Source organism: Homo sapiens, chromosome 22 (assembly GCF_000001405.40).
Source record: "Homo sapiens chromosome 22, GRCh38.p14 Primary Assembly".
In the NCBI taxonomy this organism is placed as follows: Eukaryota; Metazoa; Chordata; class Mammalia; order Primates; family Hominidae; genus Homo; species Homo sapiens.
The window spans coordinates 26312222-26334393 of record NC_000022.11 but is presented as its reverse complement, the minus strand read 5'-3'; the positions used below and the strand labels follow the sequence as shown (position 1 = coordinate 26334393).

Here is a 22172-nt window from a genome sequence, read left to right as displayed (position 1 = left end):
ACGAAAAGCCACCTGTTGAATCACTCCATTTATAAGGAATATCCAGAATAGGGAAATCCACAGAGAAAGAAGGCAGATGGGTGGTTATCAAGGGTTAGGGGGTGAGGAGAAGAATGCGGAACAATTGCTTAATCGGTATGGAATTTGTTTTTGGGGTGATGGAAATGTTTTGGCACTAGATACAAGTGTTGGTTGCACAATATTGTAAATGTATCACATATGTAGATATATATATTGTATATGTTAAAATGACTAATTGTATGTTGTATGAATTTCACCTCAATTAAAAAAAAGAAACATCTTAGGATAGAGTGCCAACTTTTAACCCTAGTCTCAAGGCTCTATAGGTCTATCTTTTGCATTGCCGCCTGCCCCGTCCCTGCCGCCTCATTTCTGACTCTCTCTCTTCCAAGCCATTGTTTTACCTCCAACCAGACTGCATTGCTCATCAGTCTTTCCAAAGCACGATGCTCTTGGTGACCTCTGGGACTTTTCACATTCCCTTCCCTGTGCTCTGAATTCTCCACCTGGGAAACTCCTACCCACCCCTTAGTTTCAGCCTTCCATGATTCACTATTGCACAGAGCCCCCAGCATCCCCTCCTGGTCTGGCCTGCAGCCCTTGTGCTCACCCTCCTTATGGAGCTCAGTCATTACTTGGGGCCCCATTGGTCTGGGGATGCTCATCTGCTGCAGATCAGGAGCTCCCTGAGGCCCTCCCATGTCTCACTCACTGCTGGCTGTATCCCTAGTGCTCAGCACCATGCTGAGTGTGTGTCTCGGGTGAATCAGTGCCAGCTCAGGGCATAGGGCCAGGTTTCGGGCTCAGATCTTGCACAGAGTAGACTGTGGCTTTGACCCCAATTCCTACCTAGGACCCTAACCCCGACTGGACTCTTCCCTGCTCCAACCTTGGGAAGGGGACTCCTCTCAGCCAGTGCCCTGGCTGCTTTCAGCATGCTCCCCAGGGTTAAGTTGAAAACTTTGGTATCAGAGGGAGGCTGCCTCAAGGGATTTCTGCCCCGCCTGCCTCTAGGGCTTCTTGTTGGCCATGCCTTGATCCTTCTTGGATATGTAGGTCACTAGAGTCAAGTCCAATGCCACCTGACACCCTGCATGCCTGAGAGGCCACTCCAAAGCCAACCCGCTGGCTTGTCCAGCTTGTCTAGCCTCCTCTCCTTCCCCACCTTGACCCTGCTCTGGGCACATTCTGCAGCCCCTTCAAGGGCCTGAGCAGCCATTTGTGGACATGCCATTTAGTGTTACCACTTCTGGCTGCTTCTTTAAATCCTCCCTTTCTCAGGGCAGTGGAAACACTGGTCCCATTGGATAGCTTTTGAATGGGAAAGCATTTCACAGGACCCACATTTAGCTTTTGAATAACAACAGTGCTGTCCGCCAAGTATCAAGCATTCAAACAACCTCACAAAGTAAGACTTGCTCCATTATACAGATAAGGAAACTGAGGCTCAACCAGGAAGGTCAAGATTCAAACCTACGTCTTTTGATGCCAAAGCTTGAGATCTGAACCACCATTTTATACAACAGCCCATGAAAGCCACATACACACGTTTTCAAGAAGTGTGTTCCGATTGAGTCTTGTGTCAGAAAACATGAATAAAAAAACACAAATTAAATATTCAGAACAGCTGGGCATGATGGTTCATGCTTGTAATCCCAGCATTTTGGGAGGCCAAGGCTGGAGGATCACTTGAGTTCAGGAGTTCAAGACCTGCCTGGGCAATATAGTGAAACCCCCATCTCTATAAAAAATAAAAACATTAGCCGGGCACGGTGGCACATGCCTGTGGTCCCAGCTACTCAGGAGGCTGAGGTGGGAAGATCACTTGAGCACTGGAGGTTGAGGCTGCAGTAAGCTTTGATTGCACCACTGTACTCCAGCATGGGTGACACAGTGAGATGCTGTCTAAAAAAAAAAAATCTGGACTGGGTGCAGTGGCTCACACCTTTAATCCCAGCACTTTGGGAGGCCGAGGTGAGTGAATAACCTGAGGTCAGGAGTTCAAGACCAGCTTGGCCAATATGGTGAAATCCCATCTCTACAAAAAGTACAAAAATAAGCTGGGCATGGTGGCATGCACTTGTAGTCCCAGCTACTCGGGAGGCTGAGGTAGGAGAATTGCTTGAACCTGAGAGAAGGAGGTTGCAGTGAGCCGAGATCGCGCCACTGCACTCCAGCCTGGGCAACAGAGCGAGACCCTGTCTCAAAAAAAAAAAAAAAAAAAACATTGAAAATCCTCTCTTCCAGCTGTTTGAAAATGAACAACAAATTATTGTTAACTATCGTCACCCTACAGTGTTATAGAACACTAGAAGCTATTCCTCCTATATAGCTGTGATTTTTGTATTACAGACATCGTTTTTTAAAAATTAAATTAAATTCTTTTTTGAGACACAGTCTTGCTCTGTTGCCCGGGCTGGAGTGCAGTGGCACGATCTCAGCTCGTTGCAACCTCCACCCTCCCCGGGTTTAAGCCATTCTCCTGCCTCAGCCTCCCAAGTAACTGGGATTACAGGCACGTGCCACCATGCCTGGCTAATTTTTGTGTTTTTAGTGGAGACAGCATTTCACCATGTTGGCTGGGCTGTTCTCAAACTCCTGACCTCAGGTGATCCACCTGCCTTGGCCTCCCAAAGTTCTGGGATACAGGCTTGAGCCACCACGCCTGGCCCAGACTTCTTGTTTTAAAAAGATTTTGTCTCCCTAACATTTTACATTTCTTGGTAACGAATGTTCTTTGTGTTTTGTTCATGGTTATTATCGATCAGGTATAACAGAGTTTGCAATAAAATCAGTGTTAATCTAGTTACTTAGTCTGGGTGGCTTAATTTTGATAGATAAAAGCTTTCTGTTATGGTTTTTGAAATATTTAGAAAGATCTGGGGAAGGATATGTAAGATACATAAGAAAGTAATTGCCTCTAGGGAGGAGAGCCAGAGAGGGGGCTGTTTGCTGGGGAAGGATGGGAAACTCAATTTTCACAGTAGACCTTTTTGTACTTTTGAATTTTGAATCGTATGAATGTAGTACCTCTTCAAAAAGGATAAAAACAGCCTAAGGGACCCTCATTGCTTTCACTGGGGTCTAGAGAGTGGAAGAGGTGAGGATAGAATGCAAATTAGAATCTGACACAGACCAGCGAACCCATCTCTGGTTATGTAATCCTGCTGCTCACCTGCAGAGGGCAGTGTATGCCTAAGCATGGAATGGGCTGACTTCCCCAGCAGGTGCCCTTTTTACCCCAACCAATCAGGAGCCTGGATGTGGGGAGCAGGTGGTAGGTGAGGTTGGTAACTATTGAGCTAGAGTCAATATTCCGGAGAGGGCATAGAAAGACATGATGAGCAAGCCACCTTTCTTTTCCTTATTCCTTTCTAAACAAACATTTGACCCTTGGCTTAGAAATCTTGCCTTTAAAAGGCTTTTTCGAGCCTCATTCACAGGACAATTTTAGGTAGGCAAACATACTTTGAAATGTCTAATGTTTATGCATTTCTTTAAATGCAAATTAGAAAAATATATAAATATATGGTTTGCACATTAAACTTCTAATTTCATGGACATTATTTTGGCTGGAGTAAGCCAAGTGAAAAAGGCAAGCCAATTTACACGCAGTTTCGGGAAAACAAAAACGGTAACACAAAAAGAAGTAGCTGGTAATAGAATTGGACTGTGGAAACCGCAAAAATTAGCCCACAGACTAAAGTCCAGTTTCTCAGCCTGACCTCCCAGGAAGTCCACAGCTGGGTCTCAGCCCATCTCTTGCTGTCTCAAACATCCAGTACACCAAGCCCCTTGCAGCTCCTAGACCCTTAAAGCCTCCATCTTTCATGCCTTAGCTCATGCTAGTCTCTCTACCTGGAAAGCCCTCTCCTCTCTTCTCTGCTAGAAAACACCTTGCTAATTCCTCAGGATCCCTCTGTCCACCCTGCATTTACAGCTATGTAATAACTAGCTAAGGTTTTCAAGTGGCTTTTCAAGGCACTTTACATGCACCATTTCATCTTATCCTCGGACTAACCCTGTAAGTACGACTCTTCACACCCATTTCACAGATAAGCCAACTGAGGTGCCCAGAGGTGAGGAAACACGCTTAAGCTCAAGCAGCTGGTTATATAGCAGAGCCGGAATCCAAACAGACGTCGTTGGAAGACAAAGCCTGAGCAACAGACCAGCAACCTTCATCTGCCTGTGTCGGCTCCCTGAAGGCACATGTCTTCACCCCAATCCCTGGAGCCCACCCAGGGCTTGGCACAGGTGAAATAAAGTTCACTTAAATGAAGGAATGACGGCAAATTTATGTCCATTTTCCAGATGAGGAAACTGAGGCTCAGAGGAATTAAGTGACTTTCCTAAGAAAACACTATCTTGCCCTTCAGGCAAGATCTTTATGGAACAGTAGAGATAGTGATGAAATAAATCATAGGATCTAAAGAAAGGAAAAACAAGAATCAAAACCTGTAAATTCCGTTGTATGCAATAAAACTTTGATAAAATATTTATAGTTTTTTTTGAAGGCCTTAGAAGGGACATGTTTAAAGTTGTTTTGTATCTATTTTCTCATCTGATCCCCTCACCCACACAGTCAGGTGGTCAGAGAAAAAACATTATGAATCCCATAGAGGAGTAAACTGAGCCCCAAAGACCCAGGTCCTAAGGCCTCTGTGCTCATTTCAGATGCAGCACAACCTTGCCAGGCACCTCTCAGCAACACAGAATTGTCGAGGGGCCTTTGGCCCAGTGAAACCCAATTAAATTTGCTTTCAATTTAATTTGATAAAATGGCAGACAGGCCAAGAAACCATGTCAGCTCCAGGGAGGACACAGAAAACCAGTATCTTTGGCTCCCTAATAGGACACCTTAAAACACACAAAAATGATGAGTTTTCTTTTTCTTTTTTTTTAAAGATGGTGTTTCACTCTGTCATCCAGGCTGGAGTGCAATGGCATGATCTTGGCTCACTGCAACCTCCGCCTCCTGGGTTCAAGCTATTCTCCTGCCTTAGCCTCCAGAGTAGCTGGAACTACAGGCACCCACCACCAAGCCCAGCTAATTTTTGCAGTTTTAGTAGAGACCGGGTTTCACCATGTTGACCAGGTTGGTCTTGAACTCTTGACCTCAGATGATCCACCTGCCTTGGCCTCCCAGAGTGCTGGGATTACAGGTTTGAGCCACCGTGCCCAGCCTGTTTCCTTAGTCTCTTCTTTGTTCCTTCTCTCTTCCTTTCCTTCCACCCTCTCTTCCTCTCTGTTTCTCTCCAAAAATATTCACCAAAACGCTTGTCCACTCCAGGCTGTGAACCCACTGCCCCGTGGTTCTCAATCCTGGCCGCACCTCAGAATCCCCGCGGAGGTTTAAAAACTCCTGATCCCAGGTTGTACTCCAGACAAATCAGGCCATCAGAAACCCTGGGGGTGGAGACTGGGAATTAGTGTCACTTAAAACTCCCATTCCCAGGGGGTTCTCCTGGGCAGCCAGGACTGAGAGCCACAGACCTGGAGTTTGCAGCCTGAATGAGACCCAGCCCTGACTTCAGAGAGGCTCCCAGTTTCCATGGCCTTTCTTCTTTTCTTCCTTTTCTCCATCTCCTCCTCCTTTCTCCCTTTTCTCAATTTCCCTCTTATTCCCAAAGAGAAAAAGAGTAGGAAAGAGATTCCTGCTCTCGGCCTGCCGTCCCCCTGGGCCTGCCCCACGGGCAGCTCAAGCAGTTTCTCATTTCCACATCTCTGGACTGAGCCATTTCCGAAGGCAGTGGGCGAGGCTCTGGCAAGGTCACCGATAACGTTTTACACCTAGCACCATGACCAGGAAAACCCAACAGCTCCCCGGCTGCTTTGCCTACAAAGACGGCTGTCCTTAACTACCCTGGTGTTTCACCTCCAGCACAAGAGGCAGCATTAAGAGAACAGGTTCAAATTCTAGCTGCAGGACCTTGAAGCAGATTAGCCTCTCTGAGCCTCAGTGTTCCCACCTGTAAAATGGGGATAATATTGTTGACAGCTGTAAATAACAATTAATGCCAGGAATTCCACTACAAGAGCATTTTTCCTCTATTACAAAAACTATTTATAAGGAACTAGGCACCCTGCTGAGGGGCAAGGGCGGCGTGGCAACAAATCCTGGTGTGACGAGACCTCAGTAAAGGGCACTTATGCTGCCACCTTTCTGACCTGTGACTGGACAAGAGGCTTCCCAACCCGGGTCTCAGTTTCCCCAGATGCAAATCGCAGAATCCACAAATTGTAAAAAAGTCCATTAACAATGGCCATGACCAAGCCACTGCATGCTTCCCTCTGTGGAGAAGGTTGGACCCACACACTTTCCCCATTTCCCCACTCAATAGCAAGGAAGGGGTTGATCTGGGGAATACAAGGCTTTAGAAATAGGCTGCTGAGGCCTGAGTTTTCCAGACTTAGGGGTGACCCCAGATGGCATCTGTGGCCCTTCCATGAATTTCCTCTGTGGCACTGCCCACATTGCTTCCTTTTTCTGGATGTAAGCTTCCCCAGGTTTATAAAACACGGAGTGGAACCCAGGGCCTTCTACATTCCGGGACATCTAAGTCAGGGTGCGAGAGCTCACCTTGAGGGAAGCTTGATCAGCTGGTGAGGTCGGATGTGTATGTGGCAGTATGTGTGTTTGTGTAGTGTGTGGCGCATGTGCGTGTGGTGTGTGTGGGTGTGTGTGGTGTGTGTAGTGTCATGTGGTGTGGGCGTGGTGTGTCATGTGGTGCGTGTGGTGTGTGTTTAGTGTCATGTGGTGTGTGTGGCATGTGTGGCATGTGTCGTGTCATGTGGTGTGTGTGTGGGGTGTGTGTATGGTGTGTGGTGTGTGTGTGTAGTGTCGTGGGGTGTGTGGCGTGTGTGGTGTGTGTAGTGTCATGTGGTGTGTGTGAGGGGTGTGTGTGTATGGTGTGTGGTGTGTGTAGTGTCATATGTGTGGTTTGTGCGTGTGTGTGTGTGGTGTGTATGTGGTGTGTGTATGGTGTGTGTAGTGTCATGTGGTGTGGCATGTGTGGCATGTGTGTGGTGTGTGTGTGGGGGTGTGTGTGGTGTGTGTAGTGTCATGTGTGTGTGGTATGTGTGGGGTGGTGTGTGTGTGTGGTGTGTGTGAGGGTGTGTGGTGTGTATAGCGTGTGTGGTGTGTGTGTGGTGTGTGGTATATACTGCCACACACACACAGACACGCACGTGTGCAGAGGGCGGTGGGCCGGGGCTCTGCATTGCTGGAGGAAGAGTTGACAGAGCTTCTCCCAGCAGAAGCTGGCAGTGGCTGGGGTCGCCGCTTCCTGCCATTCTGCGTCCGCATCGTGCACATATTCTCGAAGGCCTCCCCTGGCGAAAGCCCTGGCGTGGCCAATCCGAGCGGCCAGAACACCCCCAGGAAACTCCACACAGGGGCCGTCCCCGCCTGGCGTGGGAACTCCTCCAAGAAAAACGAACTTTGAAACCTGGAGGGCTTGTCCCAGCTTCTCCCCGGAAGGCCCCAGAGGGGTTTGCAGGGGCTTCCCCAGGCCTCGGCCATCACAGGACCATGCCAAGCCAATGCTGCTGCCCCTCTGCCTCCTGCCTGGCTTCCTGCCACCTCGGCCCACCTCTGCCTTCCTCCCAGGGGTGCTGTCTAAACAGCAGGTCTGACTACACTGCTTGCCTGCTCAGCTCTCAAGGGAGGCTGGCTGCCTTCAGGATGAAGTCGATTCTACTCTGTGAAGCAGGGTTGAGGGGTGATGAGGGGTGTGAGGCTGGCACTCCTGGGTCTAAGTGGCAAGCCATTTCACCCCTCGGAGGAGGATCACTGTCCTCATCTATTACATGGAGAACAAATCGTGTGACTCTCCTAGGTTGCTTTGAGAATTAACTAAGAGGTAACGTGCTCAGAACAGAGCTTGGCACAAAGGTAAGGGCACGTGAGTATTTTGGCACCACAGTAATCCATGTGAGTGATGATTGTCATCTCCAGACCTCTGATAATTGGATGCAACTCTAGCCACATGGTATGCGCTCAATAAACACTTGTCGAATAGTAAGTTCAGGAGGACAGCGCATGTCAGGGACTCGTAAAACAAGCAGTCGTGTCTCCCTAAGATGTCAGGTCTAATTGCATTCGAATGCCTTGAGCTTGTAGGGGTGCACCGACAAGGCAATGTCCAGCTCAGACAGACAGCAGGTCCCCTCCCAAGTAGGCTCTTGCAGTCACCAAGGCGAGAAGAGCGTGGCGTGGCCAAGGAGCAGAACATGGGCATGTGTTGGTGGAGGACCTAACCCTGGTGCTTGTGTTTCCAAGTTACCACCACAATCCCCTGCAAATCGTGGGGGAGAGGAAGCTAATCAGTCAGGTGGGATACCTGGGTAGGACCTGTGTATGGATTCTCTTCATTCCTACTGTAACACTCAAACTGCAAGCTCAGAGGGATCAATGTGTGTGTGTGTGTGTGTGTGTGTGTGGTGTGTGTGATCGTGCAAAGGAGCTCAGTTTGTACACAGGACCATGGGCCATGGAAGGGATTAATCGTCATCACAGCTGCCAATTAAATTGTTGAGTGTGTGTAATGTACTAAGCCCTTGCCAAGTGCTTCTGCACATGGTATGATTTCATCATCTCAGAACTCGAAGAGATGGGTACCATTGTTATTTTCATTTGAAAGATGAAAGAAACCGAGGTCCAGAGAAGTGGGGTGACTTTATCCAAGGTCACACAGCCACTCAGTGAAAGAATTGAGACTAGAACCCAAGACTTCTTACTGTAGGTGAAGGCTTTTTCCTGTCCCTGAAGGAATTCAAGATCTTTCCAGAGTGTCTCCCACATGCTGAAAGCATCATGTAGGGAAAGAAACATTTTCTGAGTCTTCTATATGCCAGGCACCAAGCCCTAGGTGCAAATCTTGTCTCTTATTCTTCCTAGCTGTGAGATTTTACACAAGTTCCTTCAGCTCTCTGAGCCTCGGTTTCCTCGTCTGTAAAATGGGGATAATGATGCTCAGATCTCATAGGATCATTGTACACAGTAATATCATTTGGAGCTTTGGGCTGGGACCAGGAGACCTGAGTTCTAATCTCCACTCTTCTATGGTCATGGTAGCTTGAGGGCAAAAATGATCCCAAAGCTTGGCCCCTCTCTGTATCCACACCATACCTCTGGGTTGGCCCTTGCTTTGTAGCTTGCCATAGGATATGGCAGACGTGCGGCTGTGCCACTTCCTAGTGTGGGCTCAAGAGGCCTTGAATGCATCTTCTTCCTTTCTTGAAACTCTGGCCAATCACCATGGGAACAAGCCCAAGCTAGCAATTGGAGGATGAGAGGCACATGGAGCAGAGATGCGTGTCTATGTCAATCCCAGTCTATGCCCACCTAGACCACGACAGCCAACCCATCCCCAAATACATGAAGAAGGCCAGTGGCTGCCCATAGACCCACCTGCGAGCCCAGCTAAGACCAGAAGCACAACGCTGATCTCTAGACTCGTGAACAGAAATACATGCCTGCTGTTTTATGCCAGTGAATTTGGGGTGGTTTGTTATACAGCAATAGCTGACTGATAGAGTGGTCTTGGGGCAATCTCTTCCCATCTCTGGGCCTCAGTTTCCTCATTTGCAACATAATGGAATTTGGGCTCTATGAAATTTTCTGCTCCTTCTCTAATTCCTTCGAACTTTTGGCTCCAGGGAAATCCTGTCTCCTCTTGCTAATGGGCCAGAAGATCTGAGTTCAGCCAGTTTTATTTTTGTCGTGGCCATTTCTCCTGTGATTTTTGCTGATATCTGGAAATCTATTCTCCCAGGGCTAACGTTGTCCTCAACTCCTGAATCTCTCTCCTCCTTTCCTGGCTCTCAGGTAGAATTCTTACAGTCCAAAGCAGCTATATCTCTGTTTGAAGAACTGAAGTGCCTCTGGACAAGGCACTTAATTTTTAGGGCTTGGAATTAACTTAGCACAGAACAGGTTGGCAGCAGCTGAAGAGGACTGTTCTGCAGCTATCAATCATATGGTTACCTGGGTTTGTTATTAGGCCCTTTTATTTCCTGGTTAGAGAACTGTGCTGGGGCTCATAAACAGGGAGCAATGTTGGGAACTCTGCAGAGGAGCAAAGGAAGGCACGCTGGAGCCTGATTGAGACTTTTTCCCTGCAGAGATGGATGTATGTTCGCAGTAGATGTCCAGGAAACGGGGAGCAGGAAACACTTTGAGCCTCAGTTTCTTCTTCTGTAAGATGGAGCTCGGAATTTCTCTCATGTGGAGCACTTCCCTACCGTTTGTGTGTGTGTGTGTGTTTGTGTGTGTGTGTGTGTGTGTGTGTGTGTGTGTGTGTGGTTAAAAACTGGCTTTGGTCTTAGAGACCTGGGTTCAAGTCCTGACTTGGCCACATCCTAATTGTGTGACCTTGGGCAAGCAGTTTCATCTCTCTCAGCCTCAGTTTCTTCATCTGTACAAAGGAGTAGTCACACTGACGTGATGTAGATATTGCATAGGGTACTGATATTGCATTGGAGAGTGAAATGAGTTACTATAGGTAAAAAAAGCATGTAAAGACTGGCACATTGTAAGTACTCAATGAATGTCAGCTGTTGGTCTTTATCATCATCATCATCATCATCATCAATGAGATAATGTGTGCCAGTATTTAGCATAAAGTCTGGGATATAGTAGGGGTAAAAGTAGTGTTAGCTATGGTTATCTGCCTATCTTGTGTCAGAAACCTTATGTTATCTGTTATTTTAATTTTTACATTATTTAATTAATTTACACACCCACCTTCTCTGTCTCTCTCTTTTTAGAAACAGGGTCTCACTATGTTGCCCAAGCTGGTCTCAACACCTGAGCTCAGGTGATTCTCCCACCTCAGCCTCTCAAGTAGCTGGGACCACAGCTGCAAGCCACCATGCCTGGCTAATTTTTAAATTATTTGTAGAGACGGGGTCTTGCTTTGTTGCCCAGGCTGGTCTTGAACTCCTGGGCTCAAGCGATCCTCCCATCTTGGCTTCCAAAAGTGCTGGGATTACACGCATGAGCCACTGTGCCCAGCCTTACCGTCTCTTTCATTCAACAGATATTTATCAAGCACTTTCTTTGTGCCAGACACTGGGGATAAAGTGAACAAAATATCCCATTGTGGGTGCAGGCACCAGCACCTTCAATAATCTGCCTGAGGCCACAGAGCTGGTGAACATCAGGATGCACTTACATGCACCTCTTTTTGACTCTAGGCGCTTTTATGTCTCCTTGGCTGCAAGGCATCTTCAAGGTTGTGGCCCCCGTGCTGAGCTCTTGTGGCCACAAGCAAGTTGTCTTTCTGGTCCTCTCTTGCTGTGTGATACTTGCTAAGTTACCTGCCCACTTGGGGCCCCTCTCGGATCTTCTATTCTACGATGCCTTCACCAATGTTAGTTCCCTTATTCTCCTTTCCGTAATTTATTTTGAGAGTTGGGGAAGGGGTGTGGAGAGAGAATGAATGAGAGAGAGTGAGAGGAGAGCAATATGAAAAGGCCCTTAGGGTTTAAAAGTTTCTGTTCAGTTGTGTTTTTAGAGGAAGAGGCAGATTTCTGATGGAGCTGGGAGGGATACGTGGTGGGTTAGGGAGGCATTTGGGGTGTGAAGAAGGTTTAGCCTGAGGGCTCCTGACTCATCCCAAGTTGGTGCAACCTCCTTCTTTCCTCCAACACCAACAATGTGGGGCAGATGGTTGTAATTGATGCTGTGATTCAGAGCATTCATTTCATGCCTAATGGTCACTGTCATCACTGCTTGAATCCTTTGCTCACGACACTTTTCTCCCATTAACTCCGGGCAACTGGCACTCTTCAAGATTCCTTCTGGATGTCACCTTCTCAGGGATATTTCCATAATTCACGGAGATAAATCTAGTTCCCCTCTACCTCCTCAACTCACCCTCCAAGCCACAGGACTTTGCTTACATTTTGCCAGGCTGTCTGTTTATGGCTATGTGTCCCTTCCTGAACTTTGAGTCCCTACAGGCCTGGGAGCCTTCCCGTGTCGCTGCTACATTGCCGAGACACACAGCTGGTGCCCCGAAAGCTGTTCAAGTCAGTGGAAGTGGAGGCTACGGTGTGTGCTCCGTCTTTACTAGCTGTGTGACCTGAGGAAACCACGTAACCTCTCTGTGCTGTCATACCCAACCCATAAAGTGGTAATGATAATATCTGCCTTATCTGAGGATTCCTGATAATAGTAGTCTCCATTTATGAAGCACCAACTATGTGCCAGATACCATGCAATGTGCTTGGCATACATTATCTCTAATTTGGGTAATTACCCTTCTGTAATTATCTCTACCCACATTAGCTCTCATTTATGTAATTATTATCTCTGCATAATAATGTTCACATTTATTATTGCTCACGGACCTAAACGATGCAGCTCAGGGCCTGCCTAGCACATAGTAGGTTTTTAATAAATGGTAACTAATTAGAACCGCCATGGCCACGGTATCAACAGACTGCCCAGTAGACGAAGAGGGAGAGAGATCCCCTCTCGCCTGGGAAATGTGGCTTACGTCCTCATTCATGACTCAGCAGACAGCTAAGTCATGCGCCTACTATGGGCCACCTACCCAGCTCGGTCTGCAGTGCACACTCCCTCCCCATCGTCGATGTGAAAAATAACAATTGCAAACACTTAGGAGGGCTGAGGGGCCCGGAGGATGGAATTATTTTTACTATCAAACCCAAATTGGTTTACTAAAACTGTCAGTGGAAAACCAAGCAAGATAAATTAAACCCAGCAGCTCTTGGGCCTCACGTAACCCTGGCTGTTGAGATGCTATTTTCACTCCCTCTGTGGGAGGGAGGAGGTGCCAAGTCCAGATGCCACTCTGCCAAGTGTGTGCCAAGCTTGTCGGCGTGAGCCTCGGGCTGGTGACCAGAGGACTCAGCTCCCTTCTGCAAAGCTTTAATCTCTTTAAGTGCTTAAACCCTTTTCCTGCTGCCCAATTTGGGGAAGCCCAGACTCCCTAATGTGGCCTTCAAGGCGCTGCTGAGTCGCATTCACCGCCAGGCTGTCCTACTTCATGGACGCACCCTTGAACTCCAGACACACAGGGTCCTGGAGACATGGCAAGTGGGGTTAAAGTCCAAGCTCCGCCAGCTTCTAGCTGTGCGATCACAGGCACTCTCCCACCACCCCGAGCCTCAGTTTACTCATCTGGAAAATGGAGATAATAACAGAACCCAAGGCATGTGCTTGTCGTGAAGATGTCTAGGATGTAACTGCTTGGGATGTCCTAAGTGCTCAGCAAATATTAAATATCATGGACAATTAAGAAGGGAGCTGTGCTTTCCTGCCTCTGGACCTTAGCACATGCTGTTCCTTTTGGCTGGAACACTGTTCCCCTCCATCTCTGCCCATCTTCTCTCTGTCTTTCAGGTCTTAGCATAGATCAGGGTTTCTCTGCTTCAACACCGTTGATATTTTGGGTCAGCTCATTCTTTGTGGTGGGGACTGTCCTGTGCATTGTAGGATGCATAGCAGCATCCCTGGCCTGTCCCCACTAGATGCTGGGGGTGCTCTCCCCCGCACCCTCCCATTGTCCCAACTAGAAATGCCTCCAAACATTGGCAAGTGTCCCCTGGGGCAAGATAGACCCTGGTTGAGAAAAACTGACTTAGACTTTACTGTTCTCAGGAAAGCTTCTCCCTCACATTCTCAGCCAGGCTCACCTTCCCTCGCTCTGGGCCCCCAGAGTGCTGTATTTCCTCTTGCTGGTGCTGTATCAGCCTACAACATGGCTCCCCGGGGGCGGGGCTGCATCTGTCTTGCTCACTGCCAGGGCCCAGCCTCAATGCCTGCTACATAGTGGATGCTCAATAAATATATGTGGAATCGATTTAAACTTGCTCAGTGACAAAAATGACAGTCCTCACATGTCCATGATGATTAAAACTGGGACTGAATTGATTTTGATGTCACTGCAAATCCTAAGGCCCCGGGATGACACTGGCTGCTTGTCCTAACGCAAGTCGTGACAGCTGCCTTGGGGAGGGCGATGCCCCCCCTTATTGGCCCCATTCTGAGCCTGTCTGTGGTTCCGTCATCACTTTCTGCTTGGCTTAGTGTCCAGTGCTCAGAACACCCGGGAGAATGATACAGGCTCCCCAAGCCCCACGGCACTTGGCCCTGAACTCTGCCAGCATATCTCAGCATCACTGGATTGGGGGACCTTGAAGTCCCCCTCCCGCTAGATATTCTGATTCTAAGGTCCATGATGACACATCCTTTGAAACTATAACCCTATAAAATATTCTCTTGGGGAGACCTCCTACTTCTATTATTTAATACTTTACCTGATAATTTTTAGCCAAATGTTATTTCTTATCAACCAGGTTCCCTGTCATGTAATAAACCTGTACTTACTAAAAAATGGAGGCCATGTCCCCAGAAGGTCTTTCCATATTTTTCTGACCCTCTTTTTTCCCTCCACGTGCATCATAGCCAGCTGAACATAAATTTGGGTTCAAATTCTCGCTTTGAAGCCTCATGTCTGTATGATCCTGACAAGCTACATTTACTTCCTTGCCTTTTATTTATTAAGCACCTACTATGGGCCATGCACTGGTCTATATATTAGGGTTACGGCAGTGAATAAGACAAAAAATAAACTCCTGCTCTTCTCCTGGAGGTGACATTCCAGGTGGAGGTGTGGGAGTTGAAATACTTCAAGATACACCACAATGCGTAGTGTGTTAGGTGGTGGCAAGGGCTATGGAAGTGAAGCAAAGTCAGAGGATGGAGAGATGGGGAGCAAGCTCTGCAGATATTTGGGGCAGAGCATCCCAATGGCAGGGGAGACAGCAGTGCAAAGGCCCTGAGGTATGCGTGTGGAATGGCAAGAAGGCTAATATGGTCAAATGTACCATACAGAAAGGAGAAGAGAGGAATAAAGCGATGCTGGAGATGTAACCAGAGCTAGATCCCATAGGGCCTTTTGTAAGAATACTGGCTTTAAGTCCAAATAAAACAGGGAGCTATTGCAGAACTTTGAGCAGAGCATGGGTGCTATGACTTCGGTTGTAACAGGATCACTGAGTGTTGGTTAAAAAGAGGGGGCAGAAGTGGGAACAAGGATATCTCAAAGGCCGTTGCAATAACCCTGGGAAGACGCAGTGGTGGCGTGGACCCTGCAGGTGGCAGTGGAGGTGTCAGAACTGCTTGGACTCTGGGAAGACTTTGACTTTTGAGTAGAAGCAATGGAATTTCCTGAGGATTTGGCTACAGGGTGTGGGAGAAAGAGAAAGGTCCAGTTCACAGTGAGTGTGCTGGGCTGGGGGCAGGCTCATACGGGCTTGTAAGAGCTAATGGTCCAGGCATTTGGAGAGCCTGTTGTCATTATGTTGGTATATTAAAATGGGTCATGGTGGGAGTATTTACACCGTGGAAATTGACAGATGCTACAAATCAGGGTGTGGCCCACTGTGCCGCCAACTTGTTAAGAAAGCCAGCACTCCACTGGGCCAGAATAACGCCAAGGTTTCTGTTTTGTCGTTGTTTGATTCTTTCCCCCAAGCAACTGATGGAATAGATCATACCTTACACATATGAGAAAGATGGGGGTAAAATAAGTATAATAGATAAATAGATAAATAAATATCTCCCTATAAGTAGATATAGGGAGGGAGAATCAGGAGTTTGTCTTTGAATACATTTCATTTGAGATGCCTCTTAGACATCCAAGTGAAGTGGTGAGGAAGCAAGAGGATATAATTAAATGTAATAGTTGCAACTACTTCATGGGATTAATCCAAAGAACAAATAATACAATTTATTTTTAACTTATATGAAGTAAAAATTAATGTTAGTAAAGACCTTACAAATAGTAAGTGCTTAAAAACATGAATTTCTTCATTGCTGCAATGAGAAGGGAGCTTAAACCCTCAATCACCTTAATCATTTGCAAGGGTTGCAAACTGGTGGTCCTCAGTTTGGATTCAGCCAGTAGGCACTTTTTTTTTTTTGGAGGAGGGGATGCTATTTTTAAAAATTGAAATTATGGCCCGGGGCAGTGGCTCACACCTGTAATCCCACCACTTTGGGAGGCTGAGGCAGGCAGATCACTTGAGGTCAAGAGTTTGAGACTAGCCTGGCCAACATGGTGAAACCCCATCTCTATTAAAAATACAAAAATTAGCTGGGTGTGGTGGCACACGCCTGCAATCCCAACTACTCATGAGGCTGAGGCAGGAGAATCGCTTGAACCCAGGAATCGGAGGTTGCAGTGAGCTGAGATGGCACCACTGCACTCCAGCCTGGGTGACAGTGAGACTCTATCACAAAAAATAAAATAAAATAAAATAAAATAAAATAAAATGGAAATTGAATTTAAATGATTTTAGATAGGGTATGTACTTCCTAATTCATCGCAGACCCCTCCCCTCCATATAATCTCACAACAGCTCTAATTCCGGTATTTGTGTTGCCTGGCCCTTCATGATTTTGGATTTGCAACTACCCTTGATTCAAGGTAGCCCATCATCTTGCAGAGGAGGAATCTGAGGCCCAGAGATGCTAGGTGCTGGGTCCAGGGCTGCTGAGGGCATGGAGTATCAGGGCAGGGAGGAAGGAAACTGAGGGCCCTCTCTCCTGGTCAATGCTCAATCTACGATTGTGAAAATGTTCAGAAGAGAGAAAGCCTGCCCCCGCTGCAAGGGCTCCCTTCCTGATGCTAATGCCAGTGGCTTGGCTTTGGGGAAGCTTTAATTGCATGAGGTTCCCGGATCGGCTGCTCCATTGCATGCATGCTTAGTGGTAGAAATAAAACCCAATCTGGTGTCAGGCTGAAGGTTAATTGAATATTTGATGCCTAGAGATGATGAAAGTAAAGATTCCCATTTTCTTGTTTCCTCCTCTAGACCTCTGGCACCAAAGGGAGATGTGGGCCCGTCTTATTTAAGCAAAACCACCCATCTGGGAGGCTCCCTGTGAGGCCAGAAGAGGCAAGCCAAGCAGAAGAGAGGGGATTATAGATGACTTCATGGGGCCTGGGGCTGGGTGGGATCTTCTGCCAGAGAAGCCAAGAACTCAGGAGTAGGTCGTACCTTCTCTTGGCTGAAGACAGGTAGTTTTCCTGGTAACTTCTGGGGGAAGGAATTCATAAGCTGGAACCATAAATTTATTTTTATGGACAAGGACAAGGGGGCGACACAGAAGGCTTCCTAAAGGATGCAGCCTTAGAATAAAGTTTTCTATGTGAAGCTTCAGCTAAGAAGACCCCAGAGCTTCCCTTTGATCCATTCCCTCTGTAGTCTCTACCCACCTGCCATGCTTTGCTCCAGCCACATTAAACTTTATGTCATTAAGTGGGTCACACTCTTTCATTTCCAGGCTTTGTAGATGTTTTGCAGATGTTCTCATCATGTAGGTAGGACATTCTTCTTCCTTTCCTGTCCTGTCCTCCCTCCCTCCCTCCTTCTTTCTTCCTTTCTTTCTTTTCTTTCTTTCTTTTTCTTTCTTTCTTTCTTTCTTCTTTCTTTCTCTTTCTTTCTTTCTTTCTTTCCTTCTTCTTTCTCTCTCTCTCTTTCTTTTCTTTCTTTCTTTTTTCAGAGTCTCACTCTGTCACCCAGGCTTAAGTGTAGAGGCATGATCTTGGCTTACTGCAATCTCCACCTCCCGGGTTCAGGTGATTCTCTTGCCTCAGCCTCCCAAATAGCTGAGATTACAGGCACCCACCACCACGCCTGGCTAATTTTTGTATTTTTAGTAGAGGCGGTGTTTCACCATGTTGGCTGGGCTGGTCTTGAACTCCTGACCTCAAATGATCCACCCACCTCAGCCTCCCAAAGTGCTGGGATTACAAGCCTGAGCCACCATGCCTGGCCAGGACATTCTTCTTTTCCCCTCGTCACCTGCCTACCTTCTCTTTCATGCTATTATAGAAGCTACTTCCTCCTGGAAGCCCTCCTGATTTCACTCAGGTGCCCTCACCTGCCTGTCACTGCTCCTTTCACACTGCATTTACTTTCTTACCTGCCTCACCTGCTAGGCATGCAGGGTGAGGACTGCCCTGTTTTTCTCACAACTGTATCTTCAGTGCTAAGCCTACTGCTGGCACACGGTAGGTACACAATAATTTTTTCCCTAGAGTTAAGAGAGACAATCCATTCCATTCTTTCCAATATGAATTTTACCACTGAAGGAACAACCATTAGAACCTTTCCAGCACATAAAATTGTGCTTGGTTGATAGTAGACACTCAAACAGTTCGGTTGGAATGAATGAATAAGCATCTTATTCCAGACTCTAGAAGTCAGAGAGAAAGGAATGGGGGGAAGAGGATGAGGTCTATTTAATTCAATTTGAATTTTTATTTTTTTTTGAGACAGAGTCTTACTCTGTTGCCCAGGCTGAAGTAGTGGTGCAATCATGGCTCACTGCAGCCTGGAACTCCAGGGCTCAAGTAATTGTCCCACCTGAGCCTCCCAAGTAGCTGGGACTACAGGTGCCACCATGCCTGGCTAGTTTTTTTAATTGTTTGTAAAGATGGGGTCTCACTATGTTGCCTAGGCTGGTCTCGAACTCCTGGCCCCAAGTGATTCTCCTACCTCAGCCTCCCAAAGTGTTGAGATTACAGGTGTGAGCTACCGTGCCCAGATGAGGATGAGCTTTATTGAGGAGTGAGGCAATGGGCTAGGAACGCGTAAAATCTGCCTCCAGCAGCCACAAAGCACTGATGTTCCAAGACCCCCATTACAGGAGAGAAAAATTGAGGTCCAGAGAGAGGCGAGAACAGGTGAGCCCAGCCCAAAGTCACATGGGAAGGAGGTGGAATTCTTTCTTAGATTGGCCTGGCCCCAAGTCCACAAGGGGCAGCTATTCAAGCTGTGTAAGTCTCTGACTCCACTGGAGAAGGAGGTTCTGGGACAGCCTCTGGGGACACTTCTTTTTTTTTTGAGACAAGGTCTTACTCTGTCACCCAGGCTGGAGTGCAGTGGCATGATCATGGCTCACTGCAGCCTCAATTTCCCAGGCTCAAGAGATCCTCCCATCTCAGCCTCCCAAGTAGCTGGTACCACAGGCGTGTGCCACCACATCCAGCTAATTTTTATTTTTTTGAAGAGACAGGATGCCTCTATGTTGTTGGGACTGGTCTCAAACTCCTGGTCTCAAGCAATCCTCCTGCCTCAACCTCCCGAAGTGTTGGGGTTGTAGGCATGAGCCACCGCACCCAGACTAAGGACACTTGCTGTGTCTAAGGAACAGCCTCAAAAGCCGGTCACTAATAATTTGAAAATAATTTCTCTTTCTCTTGCAAGGTTCCTCTGTAGAGCCAGAGAACTGTGAGTGCTGCTTCCCCAGGCTGCTGGGTTTCAGCACTCTCTCCGCCCCCAACCACCCTCCCGTCTGCCACCTGGGTCTGTCAGGAACCCTGTATTCTGCTTTCTCCAGGCACCACCGTCTGTCTTTGTCCACTTCTCACCCCCATCTCACATGGGGCAGTGGAAAGAGCATGACTGAGAAGCCACAGAAGCCTGAATTTCAGCCCCGCTGCTCGCTGGCTTTCTGGGTGGCCTCCCTGCACCTCTGCTGCCTTCTCAGACAGTGGGGTTAATGACCTCCCAGGGGGGGTTCTCTGTGAGAATTACCTAAGATAGAAATGCTTAGAGCAGTCACTTTTGCATCTGGCCCAGAGTAGCTGCTTCCCTGCAAGTGTCACCCTCTTGGGGAGCTAGCGGGGAACATTCTGGATGGAGAATCTAATGGTTACCCCCTGTGAATACAGGAAACCCAGCCGCACAGCTAAGTAAGTCCGTTCATTAAAAACATTTTTTTTCATTCAGCAATCATTTCCTGAGCATCTACTGTGTATCAGACTCTGCGTTAGACTGTGGAAACAGAGGGTAGTCAGACCCAGCCCCAGAGGAGAGGACCTTCTGGTCTAGTTGAGGGAGACAAACAGGAAAATAAACAACTGTAGTCCAGTAAATGGGTGTTACAGTGCCCCCTTCTTGCTGGCCACACTGGCCATTTGGTCCTTTGAAAATGAGATGCTTGCCACAGGGCCTTTGCACATTCTGTTCATTTGGGATGCATCACTCCAACTCATCTTTTAGTTCTGAGCTTTAGTATCAGATCCTCGGGGAAGACTTCTCTGACCTTCCTTTTTATATCAAATTCCAGTTAAAGAATCTCATAGCACCATTAACCTCTCCTTACATCACATATTGAAGTTAGAGTATGCAATTATTTGTGTATGTCCTCATTTCATATTTGTTTCCTAGGCTGAATTTCCCAAAGATAGGGACTCTCTCTCTCTCTCCTCTCTCTCTCTCTCTGTGTGTGTGTGTGTGTGTGTGTGTATTTGTGATGCTGTTCTTGGTCTCACTATGGGAATGCCTGTTCTCTGCATAGTCCCGGCACATAGTAGATGCTTAGTTAATATTGGTTGAAAGAATAAAGCAGGAGCAATTTCTTTCTCAATCTCCCAAATTTTGCCAAATTAGAGGGCCACCCATTTTAAACACTCACAACTGGATATCTAAGAAGATCCGTTTCTCTTCTCCCACGTGGATCTTCCAGATACAATCTTCACCTTCCACGTAGGGCTCGGGCCAGTTTGGGGACAATACCACCCCAGCCACAGCAGAGAGCTCCCCACCACACATGGCTGTAAAAGACAGACAGGCAAGAAGACGGACTTTATTTGTAAAGAAGTCAATGTGGCATAGCGGCTAACCATGTGGGCTATGAAGTCAGACAGCCGTGAATCTCTGTGTACTGTGGACAGGTGTCTTCACCTCGGGCAGCCAGCACGTGTGTGTGTGTGCGTGTGTGTGTGTGTGTGTGTGTGTGTGTGTGTAATGATTAAATGAGAGCTGGCCAGCTGCCTACCTTGCACCTGAGGGTTGGTAAAAGTTGGGCTAAGAGGTGCTATTGCTCTTTCAAGACCAAGGACAGAGCTCAGTGGTCAGAATGACTCCTCAACAGCCTCTGCTCTTTTGCGGGGTGAGTAGTGGCTAAGAGACCGCCCACTCAAGTTAGGTGGTCCCGGGGTCCCAATCTTGCCTCTGCTGCTAACAGGCTGTAGGAGGAGGTATGTAATTTCCCAGAGCCTCAGCTCCCTTTCTCTACAAAATGGGGGCAATACCACTGCCAACCTCATTGGGTTATTTTGAGGCTTAAGCTCATGAATGTCAAACATGCTGCACAGTGTCTGGCACATGGTAGCTGCTCGATAATTTAGATAATGTTGCTATGACAGGTCCCGGCCCTGAACTGGAAGCAGAGATGTGGCTGCGGCAGGTGCCCTTTAAATTCTACTCTGTGTTTACCACTTTGGAAAGGTCTCAACATGGCAGAGGCCAAAGCACCAATAAATTCCGCTCTGTTAAATCGGCACATTTAATATAGGGATCAATCCCTCACCATGGCAAGGCTGTGATTTCACACCAACTGCCATTGAGGCGGTGGCTGCCAGGAGTGAGGGCACCTTTCATTACTCCACATGCCAGCAGGAGACCCAGGCTCAGGGTGGCTCAGCAGCCTTGAATATGGGGAAACGGGCCAGGTGCGATGGCTCATGCCTGTAATGCCAGCACTTTGGGAGGCCAAGGTGGGTGGATCACTTGAGGTCAGGAGTTCGAGACCAGCCTGGCTGATATGGTGAAACCCCGTTTCTACTAAAAATACAAAATTAGCCGGCTGTGGTGGCACACGCCTGTAGTCCCAGCTACTCAGGAGGCTGAGACAGGAGAATCGCTTGAACCCGGGAAGCGGAGGCTGCAGTGAGCCGAGCGAGTCTCTGTCTCAACAACAAAAAGAATATGGGGAAACTGGCAGGACAGTCCACTGCAGCCTGTGTAGATGAGGGTTCTACAACACTGTCCAGTGGGGCTCAGAGCACAGTGCTCTGAGAACAAAGAGACATGAGTTCCATTCCTGTCCCTGCCAATTCCCCTTGTGTGTTCTTAGGCAGGTCACTTCACAGCATTAGTTTCTCACCTACAAATGGGGCCGATACAATCTACTTTATAAGGCTATGGTGAGGTTGAAATCAGATAATGCACACACACTCTTAGCAAAGTGCTGGTAGCATAATTATTACACACCAATTAAGAACTATTATTGTTCTTATTAATGAGGTTATTGCGTGGGTTGTGCACTGCACAAGCATGCGTAGCAGAGGGAGTATTTAGGAGCTGAAATCCAT

General features: G+C 47.6%; 1 protein-coding gene across 6 annotated transcripts in view, besides 1 other annotated feature; it reads right to left on the bottom strand.

The window, feature by feature from the left end:
- SEZ6L (seizure related 6 homolog like) overlaps window positions 1-22172 on the bottom strand; it is a 214135-nt gene that overhangs the window by 49203 nt on the left and 142760 nt on the right. For all 6 annotated transcript variants that reach the window (NM_021115.5, NM_001184773.2, NM_001184774.2 and 3 more), the window contains exon 9: window positions 20492-20630. In NM_021115.5, the coding sequence (NP_066938.2) occupies window positions 20492-20630 (139 nt within the window). The remainder of the gene's footprint in view (window positions 1-20491; window positions 20631-22172) is intronic.
- Window positions 12502-13468: an enhancer, noted in NCBI's record as "H3K27ac-H3K4me1 hESC enhancer chr22:26716892-26717858 (GRCh37/hg19 assembly coordinates)". NCBI's record gives its function as "activates a minimal SCP1, AML or CMV promoter by ChIP-STARR-seq in naive H9 embryonic stem cells {active_cell/tissue: H9 hESC(naive)}" and the evidence as "EXISTENCE:reporter gene assay evidence [ECO:0000049][PMID:30033119]".